Here is a 24632-nt window from a genome sequence, read left to right as displayed (position 1 = left end):
AATGTAGTCCATCACATAAACAAACCAATGACAAATTCCACATGATTATCTCAATAGATGCAGAAAAGGCTGTTGATAAAATTCAACACAACTTCATGCTAAAAACTCTCAATGAACTAGCTATTGATGGAATGCATCTCAAAATAATAAGAGCTATTTCTGAAAAAACCCACAGCCAATATCACACTGAATGGGCAAAAACTAAAGGCATTCCCTTTGAAAACCTGCACAAGATAAGGATGCCCTCTCTCACTGCTCCTATTCAAAATAGTATTGGAAATTCTGTCCAGGGCAATCAGGCAAGAAAAAGAAATAAAGCGTATTCAAATAGGAAGATAGGAAATCAAATTGTCTCTGCAGATGATAGGATTGTATTTTTAGAAAACCTTGTCGTCTCAGCCCAAAAACTCCTTAAGCTGATAAGCAACTTCAGCAAAGTCTCAGGACAGAAAATCAATGTGCAAAAATCACAAGCATTCCTATACACCAATTATAGACAGAGAGCAAAATCATGAGTGAACTCCAATTCACAATTGCTGCAAAGAGAATAAAATACCTAGGAATCCAACTTACAAGTGATGTGAAGGACCTCTTCAAGGAGAATTACAAACTACTGCTCAAGGAAATAAGAGGGGACACAAACAGGTGGAAAGATATTCCAGGCTCATGAATAGGAAGAGTTGTGAAAATGGCCATATTGTCCAAAGTAATTTATAGATTCAATGCTGTCCCCATCAAGCCACCACTGACTTTCTTCACAGAATTAGAAATACTACTTTAAATTTCATATGGACCAAAAAAGTGCCCACATAGCCAAGACAATCCTAAGCAAAAAGAACAAAGCTGGAGGCACCATGCTACCTGACTTCAAACTATACTACAAGCCTACAGTAACCAAAACAGCATGGTACTAGTACCAATACAGATATATAGACCAATGAAACAGAACAGAGGCTTTAGAAATAATGCCACACATCTACAACCATCTGATCTTTGACAAACCTGACAAAAACAAGCAATGGGAAAGGGTTCTCTATTTAGTAAATGGTATTGGGAAAACTGGCTAGCCATATACAGAAAACTGAAACTGGACCCCTTCCTTACACCTTGCATAAAAATTAATTCAAGATGGATTAAAGATGTAAAAATAAGACCTAAAACCATAAAAACCCCAGAAAAAAGCCTAGGCAATACCTTTCAGGACATAGGAATGGACAAAGACTTCATGACTAAAACACAAAAAGCAATGGCAACAAAAGCCAAAACTGACAAATGAGATCTAATTGAACTAAAGAGCTTCTGCACAGCAAAAAAAAAAAAATTAAAAAAAAAAAAAAAAAAACTACCATCAGAGTGAACTGGCAACCTACAGAATGGAAGAAAATTTTTGCAATCTATCCATGTGACAAAGGGCTAATATCCAGAATCAACAAAGAACTTAAACTTACAAGAAAAAAATCATACAACCTCATCAAAAAGTGGGCAAAGGATATGAACAGACACTTCTCAAAAGAAGACATTTGTGCAGCCAAGAAACATATGAAAAAAGGCTCATCATCACTGGTCATTAGTGAAATGCAAATCAAAACCACAATGAGATACCATCTCACACCAGTTAGAATGGCAATTATTAAAAAGTCAGGAAACCACAGATGCTAGAGAGGATGTGGAGAAATAGGAATGCTTTTACACTGTTGGTGGGAGTGTAAATTATTTCAACCATTGTGGAAGACAGTGTGGTGATTCCTCAAAGATCTAGAACCAGAAATACCATTTGACCCAGCAATCCCATTACTGGACATATACCCAAAGGATTATAAATCATTTTACTATAAAGACATATGCACACGTATGTTTATTGCAGCACTATTCACAATAGCAAAGACTTGGAACCAACCCAAATGCCCATCAATGACAGACTGGATAAAGAAAATGTGGCACATATACACTATGGAATACTATGCAGCCATAAAAAAGGATGAGTTCTTGCTGTTTGCAGGGACATGGATGAAGCTGGAAACCATCATTCTCAGCAAACTAACACAGGAACAGAAAAGCAAACACCACATGTTCTCACTTATAAGTGGGAGTTGAACAATGAGAACACATGGACACAGGGATGGGAATATCACACACTGGGGCCTGTCAGGAGGTGGGGGGCTAGGGGAGGGATAGCACTAGGAGAAATACCTAATGTAGATGACAGGTTGATGGGTGCAGCAAACCACCATGGCAAGTGCATACCTATGTAACAAACCTGCACCTTCTGCACCTATATCTTAGAACTTAAAGTACAATAAAAAAAGAGTCCATAGTAGTCCCATTCTACCCAGAGAAATCATTTTTCCAGCCAATCTGCCTAACAAAAAGTAATAAAAGAAATGCATGAGCCCCAAATTCTCCAGCTTGTTGGTGGCTTGCTTCATAATAATAATGATAATTTGATTTAGTATGTATCTTCCTGCTCCTATGCTGTCAGACGTCCCTTCTCTTCTTTGGTGGCTCAGTGCCACTAAATACATTTTGAACACTTATTTGTTTAGACCTGCTGGGGATCACATTTTGTTTTGTTGAGCAGATCTTTCCCTGTGCTGCTTTCCCTGAGTTGAGAGCCAGCCAACAAATTTGAAGCCCCCTCACCATCTGTTCCAATTTTTATATCTGCGTTGTTGGGCATCAATGAAAAGGCGAAAGTGCCACTGTGCCCCCAGGGACAGGGTAACAGTGGAATCACCTGGATGCTGCCTGATCTTATGCCAGACAACAGAAAGCACTTAGGCCACGTAGTTTTCACCCCAAATAAGAGCTTCAATTCAGAAGCATTGAACACATAAGGGTTCTGACATTGTCTGTAGATAATAAAGTAGTATTAGAGATTGTTGGGGGTGGGGACTGACTGGATAACTTTGAGGATTCTAGGCCTTTGGGTCTGTTTCATGTATGCTTGGTGTCAGCTTCTGCTACCTTTCTTTTTGAGTCACCGATGCCCATCCACCTTCCCAACCTGCTGTCTCATTCTTTTGAAATTATCCTAACCACTAAACCACCATGGACAATTCTTTTTTTAACAAAGCATGTTTTTTATTGTGGTAAATTATACATAGCATAAAATTTACCATTTTGAATGTACAATTCAGTGACTTTAAGTGCATTCACAATGTTGTGTAATCATCACCACTCTATTTCCAGAACTTTTTCATGATCTCAAACAGAAATTCTAATCAGTAAGCAATAACTCTCCATCCACATTCCCCATCCTCTGATAACCTTTTTTCTACTTTTTGTCTCTATTAATTAACCTATTCTAGATATTTCATATAAGAGGACTCATACAATATTTTCATTTGTGTCTTGCTTACTGTTTTTTAAGGCTCATCCATGTTATAGCATGTTTCAGAACTTCATTCATTCTTAAGGTTGAATAATATTCCATTATATGTATGTATCACATTTTGTTTATCTATTCGATTGTTGATGAACTCATGGGTTGTTTTCACCTTTTAAGGATTGTGAGTAATGCTGCCATGAACACTGGTGTACATGTCCCATTCTTGAACAAATCCCAACCTAGCCTTAAGGTAGGTCAGTGACCTCATACAGTAGGATTGTGACTTAGTTTAGACATGTTATTGGGGTGAGTTCTGAGCAACTTAAAAGCATGTGAGTAACAACTACCTTCTCTCCTTCGGTCCATACTAACCTTCTCCCTCAGTATCGGTTAAAACTAAAATAATTACCTAAATAATTCAGAAATTCCACTCCTAGAAATAGACCCAAAAAAATGAGTGTACAGGACCATTAAAATACCTATATCAGAATATTCCCAGTAGCTTTATCCATAATAGGCAAAAACTGGAGCCAGCCCAAACGTCCATCAAAAGGAGACTATTCCAGGTCACTGGAATACAACTTGGCATACTGTAACATGGATGAATCTCACAGATATTATGTTGAGGAAAAGAAGCCAAACACAAAAGAGGACATACTGTATATAAAGTTTATACAAAGTTTATATACAAACATACTATATATAAACTTTATATAACCTCTTTATAGTTTAACATATTGTATATAAACATTATATAAACTTAATATAAAGTTTATATACAAACTTACTGTATATAAACTTTTAATACAAAGTTTATATACAAACTTACTGTATATAAACTTTATATAACCTTTATATGAAGTTCAAAAAAGGCAAAACAAATCTATGATGACAGAGGTCATCAATTGCTACCTCTTGGGGGAAGGCATTGATGGGAGAGTCATGGAGAAGTTTGGCAGTTTTTTACAAAACTAAACATACTCTTACCATACAATTCAGGAATCATACTTCTTGGTATTTAGCCAAATGAGTAAAAACTTATGTCTGTGCAGAAAAAGGTACACAGATGTTTATAGCAGCTTTATTCATAATTGCCAAAACTTAGAAGCAACCAAGATATCCCTTCAATAGGTAAATGAATAAATAAACTGTGGTACAACCACATAATAGAATATTATTCAGAGGCAAAAAGAAATGAGCTATCAAGCAATGAAAAAACATGGAGGGACCTTAAATGCATATTACTAAGTGAAAGAAACCAACCAAAAAAGGTCACGTACTATACAATTCCAACTATATGACATTCTAGAAAAAACAAAACTACAGAAACAGTAAAAAGATCAGTGGGTGTCAGGGGTTAGGGAGAGGGAAGGATGAATAGGTGAAGTGCAAATGATTTTAGGGCAGTGAAAATACTCTGTGTAATTCTATGATGGTGGATACATGTTATACATTTTTCAAAGCCCACAGAATGCACAACACCAAGAGTGAACCCTGATGTAAACTATGGACTTTTAGTGATAATGAGATGCCAAGGTAGTTTCATCAGTTGTAACAGATAAACCACTCTGTTGTGAGATATTGATAAAGTAGGAGGGTATGCATGTGTGGGGGCAAAGTATATAGAAACTCTATATTTTCACTCAATTTTGCTGTGAACATAAAATTGCTGTGCAAATAAAGTACATTAAAAAATAATGTTCAAAGAACTAAAGGAAACCATTCTGAAAGAAAAAAAGGAAGGAGTAAAAATGAAGGAGTAAGAACACCTATACATTCTATCCTCCATAAATGCAATAAGAAAACTGGTTTTAAAATTGTCAGAATCAACTCTTTTGGACATAGACATTAACTAAAGTCTTACAGCAGTCTGGGGACCATTTATTTAAAAAAAATGGGTGAATCTTAATAAGAACAGCAAGCCACAAGTCTTACGACATTTTTATCTTTAGTGTTCCCACCTCCTCTTTCCCAGTTCCATGGTACTTTTGAAAACCAACAGCCCACTATCATGATGAAAATTAGCAACGTGGTAACAACTACATAGGGCAAAACAGGGTTGAGATGCTTCAAAGCCTCATTCAGAGATAATTTGCTATTATATGACCTCTTTGGTTGTTCCTCTGAAGACCTGACTGAGTACAAAAAGACCTTTCCCAGGGGGTTTATCAGAAACAGAGGCAACTGTTTTACCAACACACTATCCGAGGTGTGGATAAGAGTTGGTGCAAACACTAAACTAACCAAAAAGTTTAAAATAAAAGCAAAAAAACAAAAAATGGGACACTCATAGGGGCTTTGATAATCTTCTACATATTCCTGGAAATGTAGAGGGCCATTCACATGTTTCGGGTTGTATCCATGGTCAGGGCCGAGCACATGCTCATAAAAGACTTGAGGAGGCCCTAAGCTCTCACCTCTGGCTGTCATTAAGGTGCTGCACAAGCAGGAAGTAAAGGTTAAAATGAAGTTGTAAACTGCCTGGCTGAGGGTTGAAATCGTGTTTCAACATGTACACAGAGCCCTTCAGTGAAGACTGTTAGGCTTATTGGTTCTAGGCATTTCAGTTAATATTTGTTGAATTTTTAGCTGGCCACTAAGATAAGCAAGCAGAGGCTTCAATGGTTACACATAGGAAAAAAAAAGATTTTGCAGAATTAGTAGTGAAAATTTATGAAATAAACAAATAGAGACAAGAACAAACACTGGGGAGGAGGAATACCTCATTCCAGCATACTGTCTATCTATATCTGTTTATCTACAATTTAAAAGAAAAACAAAGAAGTTAAAAGGATTAAAACCACACAAAATATGTTCTCTGAAAACAATGGAATAAAATTAGAAATCAATAAAAATAAAATTTTGAAAATGTATACGAATATGTGTTAGTTAAACAATAGATTCCTTAACAACAGGAGATCAAAGAAGAAATCACAAGAAAAATTAGAAAATAATTTGAGATGAGTGAAAACAAAAACCTAACTTAGAAAAACTTATGGGAAGCAGCTAAGGCACTGCTTAGAGGGAAGTTTATAGCTGTAAATGCCTATATTAAAAAGAAGAATGATCTTAAATTAATAACCTAGTGTTCCACCTTAAGAAACTAGAAAAAAAGAAAAATAAACACAAGGCAAGCAGAAAGAATGAAAGGGTAATTATTAAAGCAGAAATAAATTAAAAAGAGACTCAACAAACAATAAAGAAAATCAACAAAACCAAAGTTGGATCTTTGAAAAGACCAACAAAATTGACAAAGCTTTAGCTAACCTGATCAAGAATCAAAGGGAAAATTCAGATGACTAAAATCAGCACTGAAAGGGAATATGTTAATCTGAAGCTTACAGAAATAAAAAGGATTATAAGAGGATATGATGAAAATTTGTATGCCAACAAATTAGATAACCTAGATGAAGTGGACAAATTCCTAGAAAAATACATATTACTGAAAGTGACTCAAAAAGAAATAGAAATTTGAATAGACTTATAAGAAGTAAAGAGATTGGATTTGTCTTCAGAAAGCTGCTCACAAAGAAAAGCCCAGAACCAGATGGTTTTACTGGTGAATTGTACCAAATATTTAAACAATTGAAACCAATTGTTCACAAACCCTTCCAAAAAATTGAAGAAGATACATTCTCCAACTCAAACAAATGGTAGTCTGACTTTTAGTTTTCTGAGGAATCTTCATACTGTTTTCCACAGTGGTCGTACTAGTTTACATTCCCACCAGCAGTGTAAAAGTAGTCCCTTCTCACATCCATGCCAACATCTATTATTTATTTAACTTTTAATTATGGCCATTCTTGCAGGAGTAGGGTGGTATTGCATTGTGGTTTTAATTTGCATTTCCCTGATAGTGATGTTGAACATTTTTTATATGTTTTTATATGTTTGTTGGCCATTTGTATATCTTCTTTTGAGAACTGTCTATTCATATCCTTTGCCCAATTTTTGATGGGATTATTTGTTTCTTTTTCGATGATTTGTTTGAGTTCCTTGTAGATTCTGGATATTACTCCTTTGTCGGATCCATAGTTTGTGAAGATTTTCTCCTACTTGGTGGGTTGTGTGTATACTCTGCTGACTATTTCTTTTGCTGAGCAGAAGACTTTTAGTTCAATTGAATGCCATCAATTTATCTCTGTTTTTGTTGCATTTGCTTTTGGGTCCTTGGTCATGAAGTCTTTGCCTAAGTCAATGTCTAAAAGAGTTTTTCCGGTGTTATCTTCTAGTATTTTGATGGTTTCAAGTCTTAGATTTAAGTCTTTGATCCATCTTGAGTTTATTTTTGTATAAGGTAAAAGATGAGGATCAAGTTTCATTCTTCTACATATGGCTTGCCAATTATCCCAACACCATTTGTTGAATAGTATGTCATTTCCCCACTTTATGTTTTTGTGTGCTTTGTCAAAGATCACTTGACTATAAGTATTTGGCTTTATTTCTGGGTTCTCTATTCTATTCCATTGGTCTATGTACCCATTTTTATACAAGTACCATGCTGTTTTGGTAACTATAGCCTTGTGATATAGTTTGAAATCAGGTAATGTTATGCCTCCAGATTTGTTCTTTTTGCTTAATCTTGATTTGTCTATGTGGGCTCTTTTTAAAATCCATATGAATTTTAGGATTGTTTTTTCTAGTTCTGTGAAGAATGATGATGGTATTTTGATGAGAATTGCATCAAATATATAGACTGCAGCTGGGCACAGTGGCTCATGCCTGTAATCCCAGCACTCTGGGAGGCCGAGGCAGGCAGATGACTTGAGGTCAGAAGTTCGAAACCAGCCTGGCCAACATGATGAAACCTCGTCTCTGCTAAAAATACAAAAATTAGCTGGACATGGTGGCACACTCTTGTAATCCCAGCAACTCAGGAGGCTGAGGCATGAGAATTGCTTGAACTCAAGAGGCAGAGTTTGCAGTGAACCGAGATTGTGCCACTGCATTCCAGCTTCGGTGACGGAATGAGACTCCATCTCAAAAAAAAAAAAAGAAAGAAAAGAAAGAAAAAGAATATGTAGATTGCTTTTGGCAGTGACATACTTGTTGGACTTTCTAACTTGTCCTAGACATCCTCTTTTCTTAAGCAACCAGTTATTTTATTTTAGGACAAGAATTTCCCATACAAGATTCTTTGTAACATTTCTTACCATAAATACCTCTTCACCTTTGTAATCTTTTAATTAGACGAGCTACTTTTATTCTGTTAGGAAGTTATGGTTTGTATTACATGTTGTTGTGTGAGTCCTGAGAAGAGGGAGCAGATAAGGAGGTTATCTACATGATGTAGAAGTTATCCCCCATCAAGGGATTGCTCGGTTAGATTTCTTGTTTGTGTGAATAAGTGTGGGCTATATTTAAAACTCCTGAGGTAAGAATATTTAGGTTGAAGCTATTGGTTATAGATCTAGGTAGCTTTCCTGGGAGAAATAGGGCTATTAGAGGGAAAGAGGAATTTAGAGTTTGGGTAAATATAAAGCAGACACCCATCTTAGAAAGTATATTCTTGTCCCAAAGGGGGGTGGGGTATTTAGATATTACCAGAAACTCTTGGGAGAATGGTAATTTATCCTTTAAGTAGAATAAAGTGGTGTGAATTTTTCTACTGAAGGAAGGGGTGCCACTTGGCCCCATTACCTGACAGGATTTGGAGGAGAGTTGCTTAGAGAAGAAGATTAGTACAGAGTAGGCAGTTCTTGAACTTAAAAAATTTATTTATTTTACTTGCCACCTCCAGAGTTGCCTTTGGCTTTGTCTTGTTGATGATGACTCTGATTTGGGAGCCAGTCAGAGAAGAGAGTACCTGCAGCTCAAGGCCATTAGGGGTTGGGATTCTGTTCTGGGGAACATTTTGACCCTTAGGGCAGTTTCATTTTCAGTAGCCGAGCTTGTGGCAGAGGGGACAAGCCACGCAGGGCTTTTTCACATTTATCCCATTAAGGCAGTTTGCCTTTCAGTGGCCTGGTCTTTTGCACGATGGCAGTTACCTGTAGGAGTGTCCTTAGGGCTACCTGGAGGGGGTTGGGGGCTTGTAAAACAGCCAACAGTTGAGACTGCCTAATGTTCCTGTGTTTTTCTTTTTTCTTAGCTTTGTTCTCCTTATTCGGCTCTCAGTTATAAAAGAATGAGGAGGCTAATTTGAGGATTTCCTGCATAGGGGCCATGCTGTATTACACAAGAAAATTAGACATTTCTTTTTGAGAGTCTGAGGGTTAAATTAATCCCAGTGTTTTAGGAAGCAACCCCGAGGTGAGTCTGAGGGAACAGATGAGATTTGTCCTATGATGGGACTGAAAATGACAAGCTGCTGGGGGTAATGTCCGCTGCGGTCATGAACTGCACTTTGTCTCAGGGCATCCTGCCGAGGAAAAGGGTTCCACTCACGTCCACTGAGGGACTTCGAGATGCACTTTCCAAAGGGGCATCCTACCTATTGGAAGGATCTCCCAGCATTGTGGCTGATGGCCCTGGGGTTTTATGCTGGATGGCTAGTCCAGGTAGGAGGAATGAGGATGAATGGAGAACACAGCCTGGAACTAGCCCAGGAGAAGGAATGGGAATGGGGAGATTCACCTGAGGCCACTTGAAATCATCTGATTTGGCAACATCCAGAGCAGGTTTGGCTGTCTTTACAGTAGAATTTAGAATGAGGAAGAGGGGGTCTGAGTTCCCCAAAACATGTGTAGGTTAGCTTTAGTCGAGCTTTAGCTGCCAATCATGCTACATGTAGGGATTGGGGACTTTGGGGAGAGAGCTTTCCTCTCTTCCGAACAAGGCAGACAAACCTGTTCACCCCCTGACCTTCAGACTCCACCAGAGAGTAGCTCTGGCCAGTGACCATCAATTGCCAGAAAGATACTGGAATTTTTTCACAGGAAGACTGGAAAGAAAAACAAAACTCTAAACTCCCACCCAATTGGGCAGTGGTCAGACGTGCTATCAGGACCTTCTGGTCTTCTGGGGAGTGGCCTCAGCTGGGATCGTCAATTGGCTCCAGGCTTGGACACTGTCCACCAAGAGGTTGGAGTTAGGGAAGAGAAAAGGGAGAAACTAGGAGACACGTTCTTAAGCAGTTCCTGAGCACTCCCTGAGTAGCTCCCGAGCATTCTTCTAGCAGTCTTGGAGCACTCCCTGATCAGTCCCACACACTCCCCATATGGGCCACCAAAATGTTGTGGGTGCAACTAGCTGGGGCTGATGTTGTGGGCAGTAAAGGAATTTACTAAGACAGTTGTGGGTAAAGGAAAAAGAATTTATTAAAGAAAGTACAAAGACATGTTGCAAGAAAGCAATGGGCAGCACAGCAGGGAAGAGGCTGCCTGCAAAGAAGCAGGGGATGGACAAAAGTTTTATAAGGTCATGCTGGAGGGGGCTATGTGCAAGTGAATTTGTGCTGTATGCTAAGAATATGTTGGGGTAATTTTTAACTGCCAGGTCTTTCCTATCCAGGTGCCCAGGGGAAACACTATGCTGCTTTTAGCTGTCTTGCGACCCACATGCTTTCCGTTTCTGGTGTTGCAAGATACTGACTGTGGTTTTTCACACAAAGAGGTGAGCTCTGCAAACTGGGTTAGGTCCCTGTTCTGCCAGCCTGGCTCCTCCCTGGTTCCTGTTAACTTATTGATTTACTGGGGCCCCAAAGTTACCAGGAACTTGTGGTAAGGAGAGGAGGGTAGTAGAAAGTGACTGATAATGAATATGAAGTTTCTTTTAGGGATGATAAAAATGCCCTGAAATTAGATAGTGGTGGTATTTGTATAACTTTGTTTTTTTTCTGTTGTTGTTGTTGTTTTTTGACATAATTTTACTCTTGTCACCCAGGCTGGAGTGCAATGGTGCAATCTTGGCTCACTGCAACCGCTGCCTCCCAGGTTCAAGTGATTCTCCTGTCTCAGTCTCCTGAGTAGCTGGGATTACAGGCACCTGCCACCACACCCAGCTAATTTTTGTATTTTTAGTACAGATGAAGTTTCACCATGTTGGCCAGGCTGGTCTCGAACTCCTGACCTCAAGTGATCCGCCCATCTTGGCCTCCCAAAGTGCTGCGATTACAGGTGTGAGCCACCAGGCGCAGCCTATAACTTTGTGAATAGACTAACATCCACTGAATTATACATTTTGAAAGTGTGGAATTTGTAATATGTGAATTTCATCTCAATATTAAAAAATTACAATTAAAAAACAAAGTAAAAAGATGCCACGAGATTTATCAAATGGAGAATATTAATATAGAGGTGTAAATTATTTTTAAAAATAACCAAACAGAAATTCTAGGGTTAAGAAAAGTTCTTCATGCTGAAAGAAAGTGACTCTAGACAGCAATTTGAATCCACACATAGAAACAAAGAGCAGTAGTAAAGTTATTTATGGAATAAAAGACAGTGTAAATTCATATTTCTTCTCTGTTCTCCTTAACTGATTTAAAAGACAATTGTATAAAGCAATATGTATACTGTTGGGTCTATACCATATAGAAATGTAATATATTTGACAGTAATAGCCCAAAGGAGGTAGATGAGAGCAAATTTATATTAAAGAAAGAAAATATAACAAAATCTATAAATGTATACTTGCTTTCCTCTTTTTCTCCATTTCTTTAATAGACTTGAAATTGTATAAAGTAATAACAATATATTATTGCATTTGTGACATATATAAATGTAATATATATATATATATATATATACATAACAATAATAGCACAAAAGGGGGAGATAATAGAGCCATGTAAGTGTTTCTTTATCTCACCAGAATTAAGTTTGTATAAGTTGAAGGTGATTTTCACAAGTTAAGACGTATATGTTAAGCCCTAGAGCAACCACTAACAAAATAACTAAAAAAAAAAAAAAAAAAAAGGCAGAAAACACTAAATAAATTAAAGTGTTACATTAGGAAATACTTACTGCAAAAGAAAGCAATAAAGGAGGAATAGAGGAACAAAACATGGGCTCCAAGATCAGAAGGAATAATTCAGAAGAAGAAATAATTCTGGATTTTCAAGTTTCAAGAGTGGATTTTAGCAAAGACCCTTTGGGCCTACACTGATTGCAAAAAAAACACACAGCTCAGCAAATCCCTAACAGACAGTACTTGGGCAGGGTTTTACTTTGCAAAGATATTGCATTTGCAAGGAGCAGTTTATGGAGCTATCTTTATTTTGGATATTTTTCCACAAGCCCTTTTCTATTTGGGTGAGACTAAATTCTGCCACTGGTAATAAGACCCTTACCTTACCTTCTCAGAAATGTAGACCATTGAACAGTTTTTCACTTATCCAGAAAAGTGGCAGCTGAACCACCCTGCTGCCAAGTTGTTCTATTTACATAGACCCAAAACTCACCAAAGATACCCCTAACCAGGATGAGGAAGAAAATTGTACTAACAGAGAAAGACAAGACAAGGGGCTCAGGCTAAACTAGAAGTTTTCTTGGAGAGGTCAATGGATATGTAAAAATAGTGGGTGGAATTGACACTTCCTAAACCCCTCTGACAAGATCCAAACCAAGGGCTGTGAGAAAAATTAAGTTATTCTGGGATTGGAAGACTTTCAGCTATGGGTGGGCGAATTGGCTGGGAGACAGAAAACAAGAGGTTAAAATAACAATGTCTTTTGACAGCAAATTCTACCACAGGACAGGTCTGCAATTTCACATGGTTATAAATAATCTGAAGAGCAAGGTAATGCTTTTAGTGAAATTGAGTTTCTAATTCATACAGCAAGTGTTCATGTAGAACCTATGTACTAAGCTTGGTCTGGCAGTGGAAGATTTTGTGATGAAAAAGACATTGCCCCTTTTGGGAGGGATTGTATAATCAGGTTGAGATTCACACGTGAAGAGAGCCACTCAGTGTCATTTCATTCATGAGCTGAAGCCAGGGGAGGACCAGACAATATGGTACATTAGTGAGGAGGGGAGGATGGACAGGAGGTTTCCGAGGGAAAGCAAGACTGAAGCTGGTCCTAAAAGATTAGATGTTGGGACTTTGGGGACTCGGGGAAAGAATGGGAAGGGGGTGAGGGATAAAGGACCACAAATTGGGTTCAGTATATACTGTGTTCGGGAGATGGGTACACCAAAATCTCACAAATCACCACTAAAGAACTTACTCATGTAACCAAACACCACCTGTTCCCCAAAAACCTATGGAAATAAGAAGTTAAAAACAATTACAAAATAAATTTAAAAAAGATTATATGTTGGAATTCAGAAAGAAAGAGGAAGATCATCCCAACTAGAGAAAGCAGCACATTCCTAGGGAGGAGCCATTAACTCATTCAACAAACATTGAGTACTTACTGTGTCCAGGTAAGTTGTTGGAGAATACAGCTGTGAACAAAAAAAGTCCCTGCCTTTGTGAAGGTTATATTCTAGATGGACAGATGGGTAATAAACAATAAGAAATAGATAAATTAGATCATTTCAGTTAGTGAGAAATGTTATGAAAAAATAAAGCAGGATAATGAAATAGAGAATGAATTCAAATCATGGTTTGCCTTTTTATTAGCTGTGTAACTTTAGGAATGCTGTTTAACTTTTTTGTGTCTTAGTGTCCTTCCTCATCTATAATATGGTGCAATAACAGCATTTATCTTGTAAGAGCATAGTAAGGGTGATTTAATTTATGCAAAAGGGCTTAGAACGGTATCTGGCACATTGTAAGCCATATAAGTTAGCTATTATAGGTGTGTATGTGAGTTGGGAAGTGGGGACTAATTCAGATAGGGTGATAAAGGGGTACTTCTGTGAGCTGGGACCTGAATGATGAGGAGCCGGTCATGGGAAATTCTCTGGCAAGAACATTCCAGACAATGGGGCAGTTAAAGGCCTGATACTTGGATGAGCTTGGGATATTAATGGAAAAGAAATAAGGACAATGTGGCTGAAGCATAGTAAGCCAGGGAAGGGTGCTAAGAGGTGAAATGAAAAAAGAGGTGAGAAAGGGCCAGATTACATAGAGCCTGGAAGGTAACAGTACAGATTTGAATTTCATTCTGAGTGTGATTAAAGAAAAAAACCCATGGGAGGTTTAAAGTAAGGGAGTGATGTAACCTAATTTACACTTGTAAAAGGTCTCTCTGGCTACTGTGTGAAGAATGGACTGTAGGAGAGCAAAAGTGGAGGCAGAGAGACCTGTTGGGAAGTCATTTCAATTGTCCTGACCAGAGGTAATAATGGCTCAGATTAGGTGATGAATTGGAGGAAGTAAAAAGTAGTTGTGTTTGGAGTCATATTTGAAAGAAGACTGGATAGGCCGGGCTCAGTGGCTCACACCTGTAATCCCAGCACTTTGGGAGGACAAGGTGGGCGCATCCCTTGATGTCAGGAGTTCAAAACCAGGCTAGTCAACATGGCGAAACCCTGTCTTTACTAAAAATACAAAAATTAGCCAGAAGTGGTGGTGCGTGCCTGTAGTCCCAGCTACTTGGGAGGCTGAGGTGGAAGAATCGCTTGAGGACAGGAGGCATAGGTTGCAGTGAGCCGACATCATGCCACTGCACTCCAGCCTGGGCAACAGAGTGAGAGTCCATATGGAAAAAATAAAATAAAATAAAATAAAGAAAGAAAGTAGACTGGACAGGCCTTACTACCGATGAACTGGTTCTAGGAGTGAGAAAAGAGGAATGATGGTGCCTGATTTGGGGGCCTGAGCAACTGGGCAAATGGTGGCATCATTTACTGAGGTGAGGAAGATTGAGGGAGGAAAGGATTTGGGAAGAAAATCAAGCGTTCTGCTTTGACTAAGTAAACTTTAAGAATCGTATTAGATATGCAGGTAGAGGTTTCAAGGGAGCAGTTAGTTGTCCAAATTGAACTTGGAGAGAGTTATGGACTAGAGAGATAAACATGGGAGTCATTAATACATAGGCCATAATTAGTCACTGAACTGGGTGAAATCACTTGTGCCTTGCAGAGAATGTGAGACCAACTCAGGTAGGAATGGAGAAACTGAACAAAGAAAAGAAGAGTAGAAGTTTCTGACAAGTTACTGGCAGCAGAGGATAGAAAGTTGACTGGAGATCTAGTGAGGAGGCCACTCACTAGAGGCAACGGTCCCAGCAGCAGAAGAGAAGCAGATATGGCATTAAAAAGCTATTTGCAGAATGAAAGGCAGGAGATTGGGCACTGGGACCGCGCTAGGGAAAGAAAATTGTCAAGGAGAAATATCCAAGTTCTTATTCTGGAAAAAGGCGTGGATAGTGGCGCCACCAAGTGAGAGAGAGGCATAAGAAGATGAGCCAAGTGGAATAAGAATAAAAATAATATATTTGTTATTCTGAATTTGAAGCTCTAGGAAACATTTAAATCTTGCCTCTGTCACTCCAAGCTATGTGACTTTGGGCAAGTTACTTATCCTTTCTGTACCTTAGTTTCCTTATCTGTAATAACTGCCCTTGTCTCAGAGATACTGTGAAGATATGTGGTAATACCTGTAAAGCACACTGAACAGTAAGTATTTAATAAATGCTAATTACAATTATTATTGCAATGGAACGTCATTATGAGAAAGTCTGGGATTTTGAGGGATGCCAGGTCTAGTATGCCTGGAATGCAAAGTGCTGTGGGGAGATAGATGATGATGGATAGTGGAAGATAAGACAAGTCAAATAGTGAAGAGCCACTAGGCTAAGGAATTTTGGCTTCTTCTTCAAGGAGGATCCAGAGTGAGGGTTGTTTTTGTTTTGTTTTGTTTTGTTTTGTTTTGTTTTGTTTTGAGACAGAGTCTTGCTCTGTCACTCACGCTGGAGTGCAGAGGAGCCATCTCCACTCACTGCAATCTTCACTTCCTGTGCTCAAGTGATTCTCGTGCCTCAGCGTTTCGAAGAGTAGCTGGGATTACAGGCATGCGCCACCACACCTTTTGCCATTACTTTTAATGGCAAAAACAGCAGTAACTTTTGCACCAACGTAATAGATTTTTATGGAGACTTCATTATGTAGGCATGGTTGATTAAACTATTAGCCATTGGCAATCAACTTGACCTTAAGCCCCTCTCCCCTCCCTGGAGGTTAGAGGAAAGTCCCAACCTTCTATTCATGCTTTGTCTTTCTGGTGACCAGTCCCACACTGAAGTTATTAGTCAATCATTAGCATACAAAAAGACAGCACTTTGGAGCTCCCAAGGATTTTAGGAGTGGTATGCCAGGAAATAAGAGGAAGACCAAATATATATATTTCACAATATCGCAGTAGTCCATTCATTTTTATTGTTGAGTAATACCCCATTTATGAATATACAATTGTTTTGTTCATTCTCCTGTTGATGAAAGTCTGGCTAGCTTCCAGATTGGTGCTATTGCAAATAGTATTGCTATGTCTTTTGGTGGACATAAGCACTCATTGCTCTTGGATATATACCCAGCATCTCTACCCATTATTTTTTAAATTAATTTTTTTGAGGTCTTTGTAGATTCACATACAGTTGTAAGAAATTATACAGAGAGATCCCATGTACAATTTACTCATGTTCTCCCAGTGGTATCATCTTGTAAATTAGCCTTCAATATCACAACCAAGATTTTAACATTGATATAGTCAAGACACTAGGTATCACAAGGACCCCTCCTGTTGCTCTCTCATAGCCATATCCATTTCTCACATGCTCTCCATCCCCTGCCTTGTTCTTTAACTGCAGGCAACCACTAATTTGTTCCCTTCTCCATTTCTATAATATTGTCATTTCAAGAATAAGGAATTTCAAGAAATAGGGAAATGGAGAATAATGCTAGAGTGGCTTAAAACAGAACAAATTCTGGAGGTCAGATTGTCAGAGATGCTTGAGCCAGAGCTACTTCATCTAGAATAGGGGCTGGGTAAAAAAAAAGGCTGAGACATACTGGGCTGCATTCCCAGGAGGTTAGGCATTTTTAGTCACAGGATGAGATAGGAGGTCAGCAGAAGATACAGGTCACAAAGACTCTGCTGATAAAACAGGATGCAGTAAAGAAGCCAGCAAAAATCCACCAAAACCAAAATGGCAATGAAAGTAACCTCTAGCAGTCCTCACTGCTTATTATACACTAATTATAATTCATTAGCATGCTAAAAGACACTCCTACTAGCACTATGACAGTTTACAAATGCCATGGCAACGTTTGGAAGTCACTCTATATAGTCTAAAAAGGGGAGAGACCCTCAGTTCTGGGGAAATATCTCCCCTTTCCTAGAAAACTCATGAATAATGTTTAGCATATAATCAAGAAATAACTACAAGTATACTCAATCAAGCAGCCCATACTGCTGTTCTGCCTATGGAGTAACCATAATTTTACTTTCTTGATAAACTTGCTTTCACTTTACTCTATGGACTCACCTCAATTCTTTTTTGTGAGAGGTCCAAGAACCCTCTCCTGGGGTCTGGATCGAACCCCTTTCCAGTAACAAGATGAAAGTCCAAAATGGGCTAAAACTGAGCTAAAACTAAGGTGTCCACAAAGCTGCATTTCTTCTGGAGGCTCTAGGGGAGAATCCATTTCCTTGACTCTCCCATTTTATAGAAGCCACCTGCATTCATTGTTTCATGGCCCCTTCCTCCATCTTTAATATCGGCAACATAGCATATTCAAATCTCTCTGAATCTGACCCTCTTCCATCTTTAATGACTCTTGTGATTATATTGGGCCCACCTGGATAATACAGCACCCTTTCCCTATCTTAAAACCCTTAACCCAATGACATCCCAAGTCCCTTTTGCAACGTAAGGTAACATATTTATAGGTCCCATGGATTAGAACATGGATGTCTTTAGAGGGCCATTATCTTGCGTGCCACATCCATCTTCCTGGGAGAAGTCTACCTGTTTTCCATTTAAAATAAATAAATAAATAAATCATTTACACACATACAACCCAATATCCAAAAACAGAGATCCTCTGGTTGTGGTTGGAGGGGATCTAAAACTCCTTCACTTTCCAAGGCAACAACAGTTGGGATAATCATTAGCAGAGACTCCTAAGGCCTCCTCCTACACTGATGTTCTAGGGACTTCGAACTATATCTGCTACCTTAGAATTGAAGCTGTGCAAATGTCTCCTCTTCCTAGTATATGTCTGCCCACCCCCAGGAGGACATACTGGAATCATCAAATACATACACTGGTGCCTGGATCCCAATACTAGAGGTTATAATTTGATTTGAAGATATGGTCTGGGCTTTGGAATCTTTAAAGGATTCTAATGTGCAGACAAGTTTTTGAGCCACTGCCTCAAAGGGTTGTTGTTAAGGATTTAAAGCTCACAAAACATACGATAACTGGGCCAGGCCTCATGGGCTCCCACCTGTAATCCCAGCACTTTGGGAGGCCGAGGCAGGCAGATCACTTGAGGCCAGGAGTTCAAGACCAGCCTGGCCAACATGGTGAAACCCCATCTCTACTAAAAATACAAAAATTAGCCAGGCATGATGGTGTGTGTCTGTAGTCCCACCTCCTACGGAGGCTGAGGCAGGAGGAGAATCGCTTAAAGGTTGCAATGAGGCAGGATTGCACCACTCCACTCCAGAGTGGGCAACAGAGACTCCATAAAAAGAGTAAGAGAGAGAGAGAGACAGAGAGAGAGAGAGAAAGAAAGGAAGGAAGGAAGGAAGGAAGGAAGGAAGGAAGGAAGGAAGGAAGGAAGGAAGGAAGGAAGGAAGGAAGGGAGAGGAAGGAGGGAAGGAGGGAAGGAGGGAAGGAAGGAAGGAAGGAAGGAAGGAAGGAAGGAAGGAAGGAAGGAAGGAAGGAAGGAAGGAAGGAAATATATGATAACTTACTTTTCCTTGCAAGTGTTGGCTTACCAGGAAGGAAAGTGGTAAGTGAGAGTGCCAGGTCCAGGACAGTTTAGAAGGTTTGTCTGGCCTCAGTTTCCTCATCTGCAAAATGAGGATAACCATATCTAGGCTACAAAATGTTTTATACATGTTTTATAAACTATAAAGTACTACCCAATAGCTTTTGTACATACACACACTCTCCATCCTCACTTCACACTCCATTCCCCACTGCCTTCTGCAACAGGGCCCAAGGTAGTTTCCCTGACCTTTATTGGCACTACAATATGTGAGGGTAGTAGGAGGCAGGAAAAGCCTGAAGACCTTCCTGACAAAGAGGCAGGACAGGGCCTGAGCATCCCAAGAGAAATCAAGAGATACAAATAAGTACCTCTTAGGTCCCAATGCCAGGCAAGTCCAGGAGCATCACATGGTCAATGCAGGATCCACACCCACAGTAGAAAAGTTGGCCTGGAACTACCGAAAGGGCACAGACTATTAAGTTAGACAGTCCTGTGACCTTGGGAAGTTATTATACTTTTTTGAGCCCATTCTCTCCTATATAAAATGGGGATAGTCATATCACCCCTCTCCATAGAACTGAGGTATAGATGAAATGAGACCAAAGATAAGAAGGTAATATATAAATAGAAACTGCAGTGAAATATCTTACAGCTACCCACTCATACCACAAAGAACGATTGAGTCACTGTGAAGTCTTCCTAAATTTTATTGGCACTGAAATAGAACATGGATTGAGCATAAACCCCTCCAAAAACAATTTTTAAAAAACCCAAAAAGTACACAAAAAACCCCTGAATACAAAATCTAACCTTTTCCCCCAGCCTCCCTAAGGGTAAGTTACTGACTTTAAGGCAGCTATTAATAGATTGCCCCACAATTCCAGGTTTCAATTTAGCCAATATAGGACATATCACCAAGTGAGCTAATTCACAGCAATGCACACAAGACTCCTCAAGGTCAGGCACAGAGTGGGGGGTGGTGGCCAGGGGGAATTGAGGGAGGCTCTAAGCTAGGGGCACTGCATGGTGGGACAGGATGGCCCCTTGAGGACTGAACCCTGGGGAGAAGACAAACAGTAATAATAAAAACAAATAACAAGTACTTTAAGAATGGATTGTATGACCTATAGTGACAGATGACATCACTAATACTGAAAGCTTCTTATATTAATAATTTTGGCAAAATGTCATTTTGTAATATAGTATATGCTTTCCAGGTGTGGGGGTGGTAAAGTAATGAGGCCAAAATCATCCTGCCCCAAGACTAATATCTTCTAATGGTGCATTAGCAAGGAAGGCAGAAATCAATATTTAGATATCAGTAGAGTACATAATACTGTAGAAAGAAGAAGAGCACACATGAGACAGAGAAGGAGGTGGATGCTCCTGGGTTGAGAGCAAGGGGTGGGGGTGTGGAAGGGACTAGGCCAGAATCCCCAGCAGCTCTCTGGTTTACAGCTCCAAGGGACAGAACAGCTGGTGTCAAGACCTGGGTTAGAGGTTTGTCAAACAGAGGCAGGGCCCAGTCACCTCTTTGGAGGGGAGTGATGAGAAGGGGATTTTGGTCACCTGAGAGGGTTGAGTAAACTTGGATCAGGGCACAGGCTTCTCTCACCATACTCAGCTTTTTGCACTCACTCCCTAGTTGAGCCTACTGGCATCAAGCTCTAGATGCCAAGGCTGGGATGGCTGTGGAGCAGGAGCTATGGCCCAAGTAGCTCTGAGAGGGGAAGAGACCTAAAACCCCTAGCAGGGAAAATACTGACGCTAGGTGTGAACATATCCTCTCTTTTCACAAGAGTCCTGATGGGGCTGGCTGAGCTTTTGGGTACTCATCCCTACTGTTATAGCTGGAGAGGATTTGGGTATTGAAGCAGGGAGGGGCAGATCCCACGAAGTGACTGCAGATCTGGAATAATAAGTAAGGGGTAGATCTGCCCATAGAGCTCACTTTAGACCGGCCTATACTCCTACAAGGAATTGGGGTAGGATCTTCTACTCAGCCTTGCCACAATAGAATGGCCAATGCCCTTCTAGTATGTTTGGTGAAGGTCTTGAAGGCACCATTTCCCCCATCCACCCTGGGGAGAAATTGAGTCCCTAAAGTCAACGACAAGGCTTATTGAGGCTGAGTTTGCAACAGATCCGATCTGGGAGGTAGAAACAAAAATGACTGAACATCTTTTTATCCCCCAATCGTTACAAAGCCTAAATAACTCTAAACGGGATGGGAGGGCAAATTTTAGGTCAGTTGACATCCTGGAGAAGATATCCTAGGTCCTGTCTCATTCCCTAGACCGCATAACACTCCAACCGTGTAAATCTCAGGACCCTGAAGAAGACAGTGGTAGGGGAGAGGAGGGGAGCTAGCTTCCAACCTACTCCACACTTGACTCCCATAGGACAACAGTAAGTGTAAGGGCATTTGCAAAATCAAGTGGAAAGTACCTCTAGGCTGGAGAAGTAGGATATTCTAGCCATACAGATTCAATGGAACAGAGAAGAGAAAGGAGGTTCCATTGGCACCATAGTGAGCCATTCATTTGCCCAGGGAAGTGGGTGGGGGCTAAGGGGCTAGGTTTGGTCCCATGGCTACATTAAATGCTTGGCATGACTCCAGGGCTGCTCTAGTTAGTGGCTCCAGCACAGTATGAGTTAGGTGAGTTAGGTGTAGGAGTGTGGGGACAAGGAAAAAGGGAGGAGGGGTCCCTAGAGGCTGGGTGCCCATTACATAGACTCAAATTCGTCAATGCGCTGCTTGGTGTTGCCCTGCCGGATCTGGCGCAGGGTCTTGTATTTGTCTCGGCCCAGTCGCATGTTCTCAGCATGGATCATGTCATTGGCAGTCTTCTTGGACTCATCTCTGGCATTGGCCAGCTCCGAAGTGAGGGCCTGTGAGGATGTATGGGAACACAGAGGTCAATGGCTTTCTCTCATTTTACCTCCTGTTATTTGACCAGACTTCCCTTCTCTTCTGTTTCCTTCTTTCTTCCTCACCCTTTCTCTCTATATATAAATATTGAGAGTCATTTCCAACTCTGTTAGAACTGCAGTGGGGCAAGAATATTAAAAAAAAATAAATAAACTTAGGGGACCAGTTGATAATGGGTATCCTTTAAGAGTAGAACAACATACAAAAGATTCAGGTGGGAATTTTGTCAGCTAGATATTTTCTTAATGTAAGAGGTGAATGGAGTGAGTGGGAGGTGGGGCAGAGAGAAAATCTCAAAAAGGGAAGAGATAGCCCAAGGTCTGATTAATAAGTGAGAGGTGCCTATCCTTAAAGCTGTCACTTAAGAACGGCTTGGGCTCCCATACAACACTGGGACAGGATCTTATACCTATCCCCCATGATGGTCTAGGGAATGCCATGGGCTACTAAATCAATGCATATAGTTTCCTTGCCCCTTGGCCCTACTTGTATACCTTCAGGTGCTTCTGCACACGCTCATTCTTCTCTGCCTCAGTGGTACGTTCCTCCTCACTGCGGTCCTTGGCCATAGCATCAGCCCGTAGGTCAGCACTAGCCTCTGCCCCATTCTCATCCTGCTCATCCTGCTCATTCTCAGCAGGCTCTGCCACATGAGGTGTACTCATGGCAGTCTTCAGCTCAGCACGGGTCTTCTCCAAGTCTTCCTGTACCATCTGGGCCTGTCCAGTGACAGAAGGAGAGAAAGACTGTCAGTGAGACCAGTTAAACTGTGGCATCCTGTATATGCCTAGAACGGTCTGGCAAGAGGCAGGCACCAGGTAGGACAAGGCACTTCATCTGCCTGATCCTTAGTTTCTTCATCCATAAAACAAGAGCAATTGTACCAACTTCCTAGAGGTATTAGAGAACTCCAGTAAGTATTTGACGAAACCATGAGTGCCTTCTCCCATGCTGCCTGCTGTGGGAAGTATGAAAGAGGGAGGGAGCCAAAACATAAGGAATCTAAGGAGCTGTTACCTATGCATATGGCACCCATTCCTTCAATGCTTTGCTTTAGGCCCTGTGTCTTACCTTCTGCTGCCACTCCACAGCCTCACTCTCCTTCTTCTGTCGGGCCATCTCCAGCTGGGAGATTCGAGCTGTCAGCTCTGCCATTTCCAAGGCCTACGGATAAATTGGAAGCCTGTGAGAGCTGGGCCTTCTGGTCCTCAGGACCCAGGTGTCTTCAACCCAAGTCCCCTGGGGGACTAGTAAGGGACCTACTGCTCCACTTGCTTGCTGCCTCAGAGACTCTTTTACCAGACTACTTCATTCCAGTCCCATCTTCCCTGACCACCACTTCCTTTTAAGTCAGAGCTCCCCCACCTAGACTGTAGGCCTCTTGAAGACAAACAATATGCCATCTCTGTCCCTTCCTCATTATCTCTCCCCCTGCCCCTCTTGGCAAGTATGCAGCTGGGGGCCTCAGTAAAGCTTTGGCCATCATTGGGTCACTTCCTGAAGTGGCAGATCCTTTCCTGATATCCTAGAATGCTCAGGATTCGACTAAGAGTCTTCCCAGGACAAGTACAGGAAAGACACTCAAGTGTCACAAAGCTATCTGAACAAGGAAAAAAGCTTATGCACACCTTGGGTAAATCTCCCATGACAGCTTCCTCATGAGAGACAGGTCTTGGTTCCCTCTATTCCCACCTCCAACAGTACAAAGGAAGAGTATATGTCAAGGAGTTTGGACCACAGGTTCTTAACTTCTGAGTCACAGAACCCTTGGAAACTGTGATGAAAGTATGGATGCCAAATGCCCCAAAAATGCATAGACACATAGTTTTGCATGTGATTTCAGGGAGCAAAGCTTTCAAACAGAGGCAGAAATGGGTGGGTTCTAATCCTTATTTAGCTACAATTGTGTGATCTTTGGTGAATCTCTTCCCTGAGCTCTAATTTCCTTATCTGGGATATTATCTCATATGAGGTTAATCCCATAGGGTTACTGGGAAGAAGAAATAAGTAAGGAAAAGGGAAATATTCCCAACACAGCAACATACAGCAGGAGCTCAAATATGAGTCCCTTTTGTTCTTTTCTCCTTCCCTTTCCTTTGCCAGGTCAATCAGCTCAGATACCCAAGAGTTAAGAAAGTGAACAGAAACTAAGGGTTAGGGAAGACTGCAAAAATTTCTGGGCCACACTAGTGACTTCTCAGCTTGCTTCTGAACTAGTTATTTGCTGGAGGCCCATGGAGTGGTAGCCTGCTCTAAAAAGCCAGCATGTAAGCAAAAGTAGCTATAAGTAAGTAGGCAGACAAGGAAGAAAGTTCAGTTCCCATAATCCCAGCCCACCCTACAGCTTTACCAGCTGTTCCTGAGTCTTTTTCTGGTCCCGGGAGGCCTGCAGCAAGGCCTCCTTGGCCTCTTCAGCTTCTTGACGCTCCTTGGCCAGCTTTTCAGCCTCGCTCTGGGCACGCTTCCGTTCCTGCTCAAGTTCCAGAGCCCTACGGGTCTGTTCTTCCAGTTCTGAGCAGAAAAGGAGGGGAGAAGGCAGTGAAGAGCACAGAGATAAAGACGACACAATAGCTTCGTTCCTGGAAATGATCCACCCCAA

At 40.7% G+C, this 24632-nt stretch overlaps 1 protein-coding gene across 6 annotated transcripts in view, besides 2 other annotated features; it reads right to left on the bottom strand.

Moving 5' to 3' along the window:
* Positions 9129-9327: a silencer, noted in NCBI's record as "fragment chrX:64972237-64972435 (GRCh37/hg19 assembly coordinates)". NCBI's record gives its function as "represses an EF-1alpha promoter that drives an FKBP-Casp9 reporter gene in an ReSE screen in K562 erythroleukemia cells {active_cell/tissue: K562}" and the evidence as "EXISTENCE:reporter gene assay evidence [ECO:0000049][PMID:32094911]".
* Positions 10592-10651: an enhancer, noted in NCBI's record as "active region_29717". NCBI's record gives its function as "activates an Ori minimal core promoter by ATAC-STARR-seq in GM12878 lymphoblastoid cells {active_cell/tissue: GM12878}" and the evidence as "EXISTENCE:reporter gene assay evidence [ECO:0000049][PMID:35858748]".
* Positions 19791-24632, bottom strand: part of MSN (moesin) — a 153555-nt gene continuing 148713 nt past the window's right edge. For all 6 annotated transcript variants that reach the window (NM_001440778.1, XM_011530959.1, XM_047442130.1 and 3 more), the window contains 4 exons: positions 24384-24544; positions 23105-23197; positions 22528-22752; positions 19791-21993 (listed from right to left, as the gene is read on the bottom strand). In NM_001440778.1, the coding sequence (NP_001427707.1) occupies positions 21829-21993; positions 22528-22752; positions 23105-23197; positions 24384-24544 (644 nt within the window). In that variant the 3' untranslated portion in view covers positions 19791-21828. The remainder of the gene's footprint in view (positions 21994-22527; positions 22753-23104; positions 23198-24383; positions 24545-24632) is intronic.

Source organism: Homo sapiens, chromosome X (genome assembly GCF_000001405.40).
Source record: "Homo sapiens chromosome X, GRCh38.p14 Primary Assembly".
In the NCBI taxonomy this organism is placed as follows: domain Eukaryota; kingdom Metazoa; phylum Chordata; class Mammalia; order Primates; family Hominidae; genus Homo; species Homo sapiens.
Note: the sequence above shows the minus strand (reverse complement) of the source record. Positions and strands in the feature narration are given on the sequence as shown.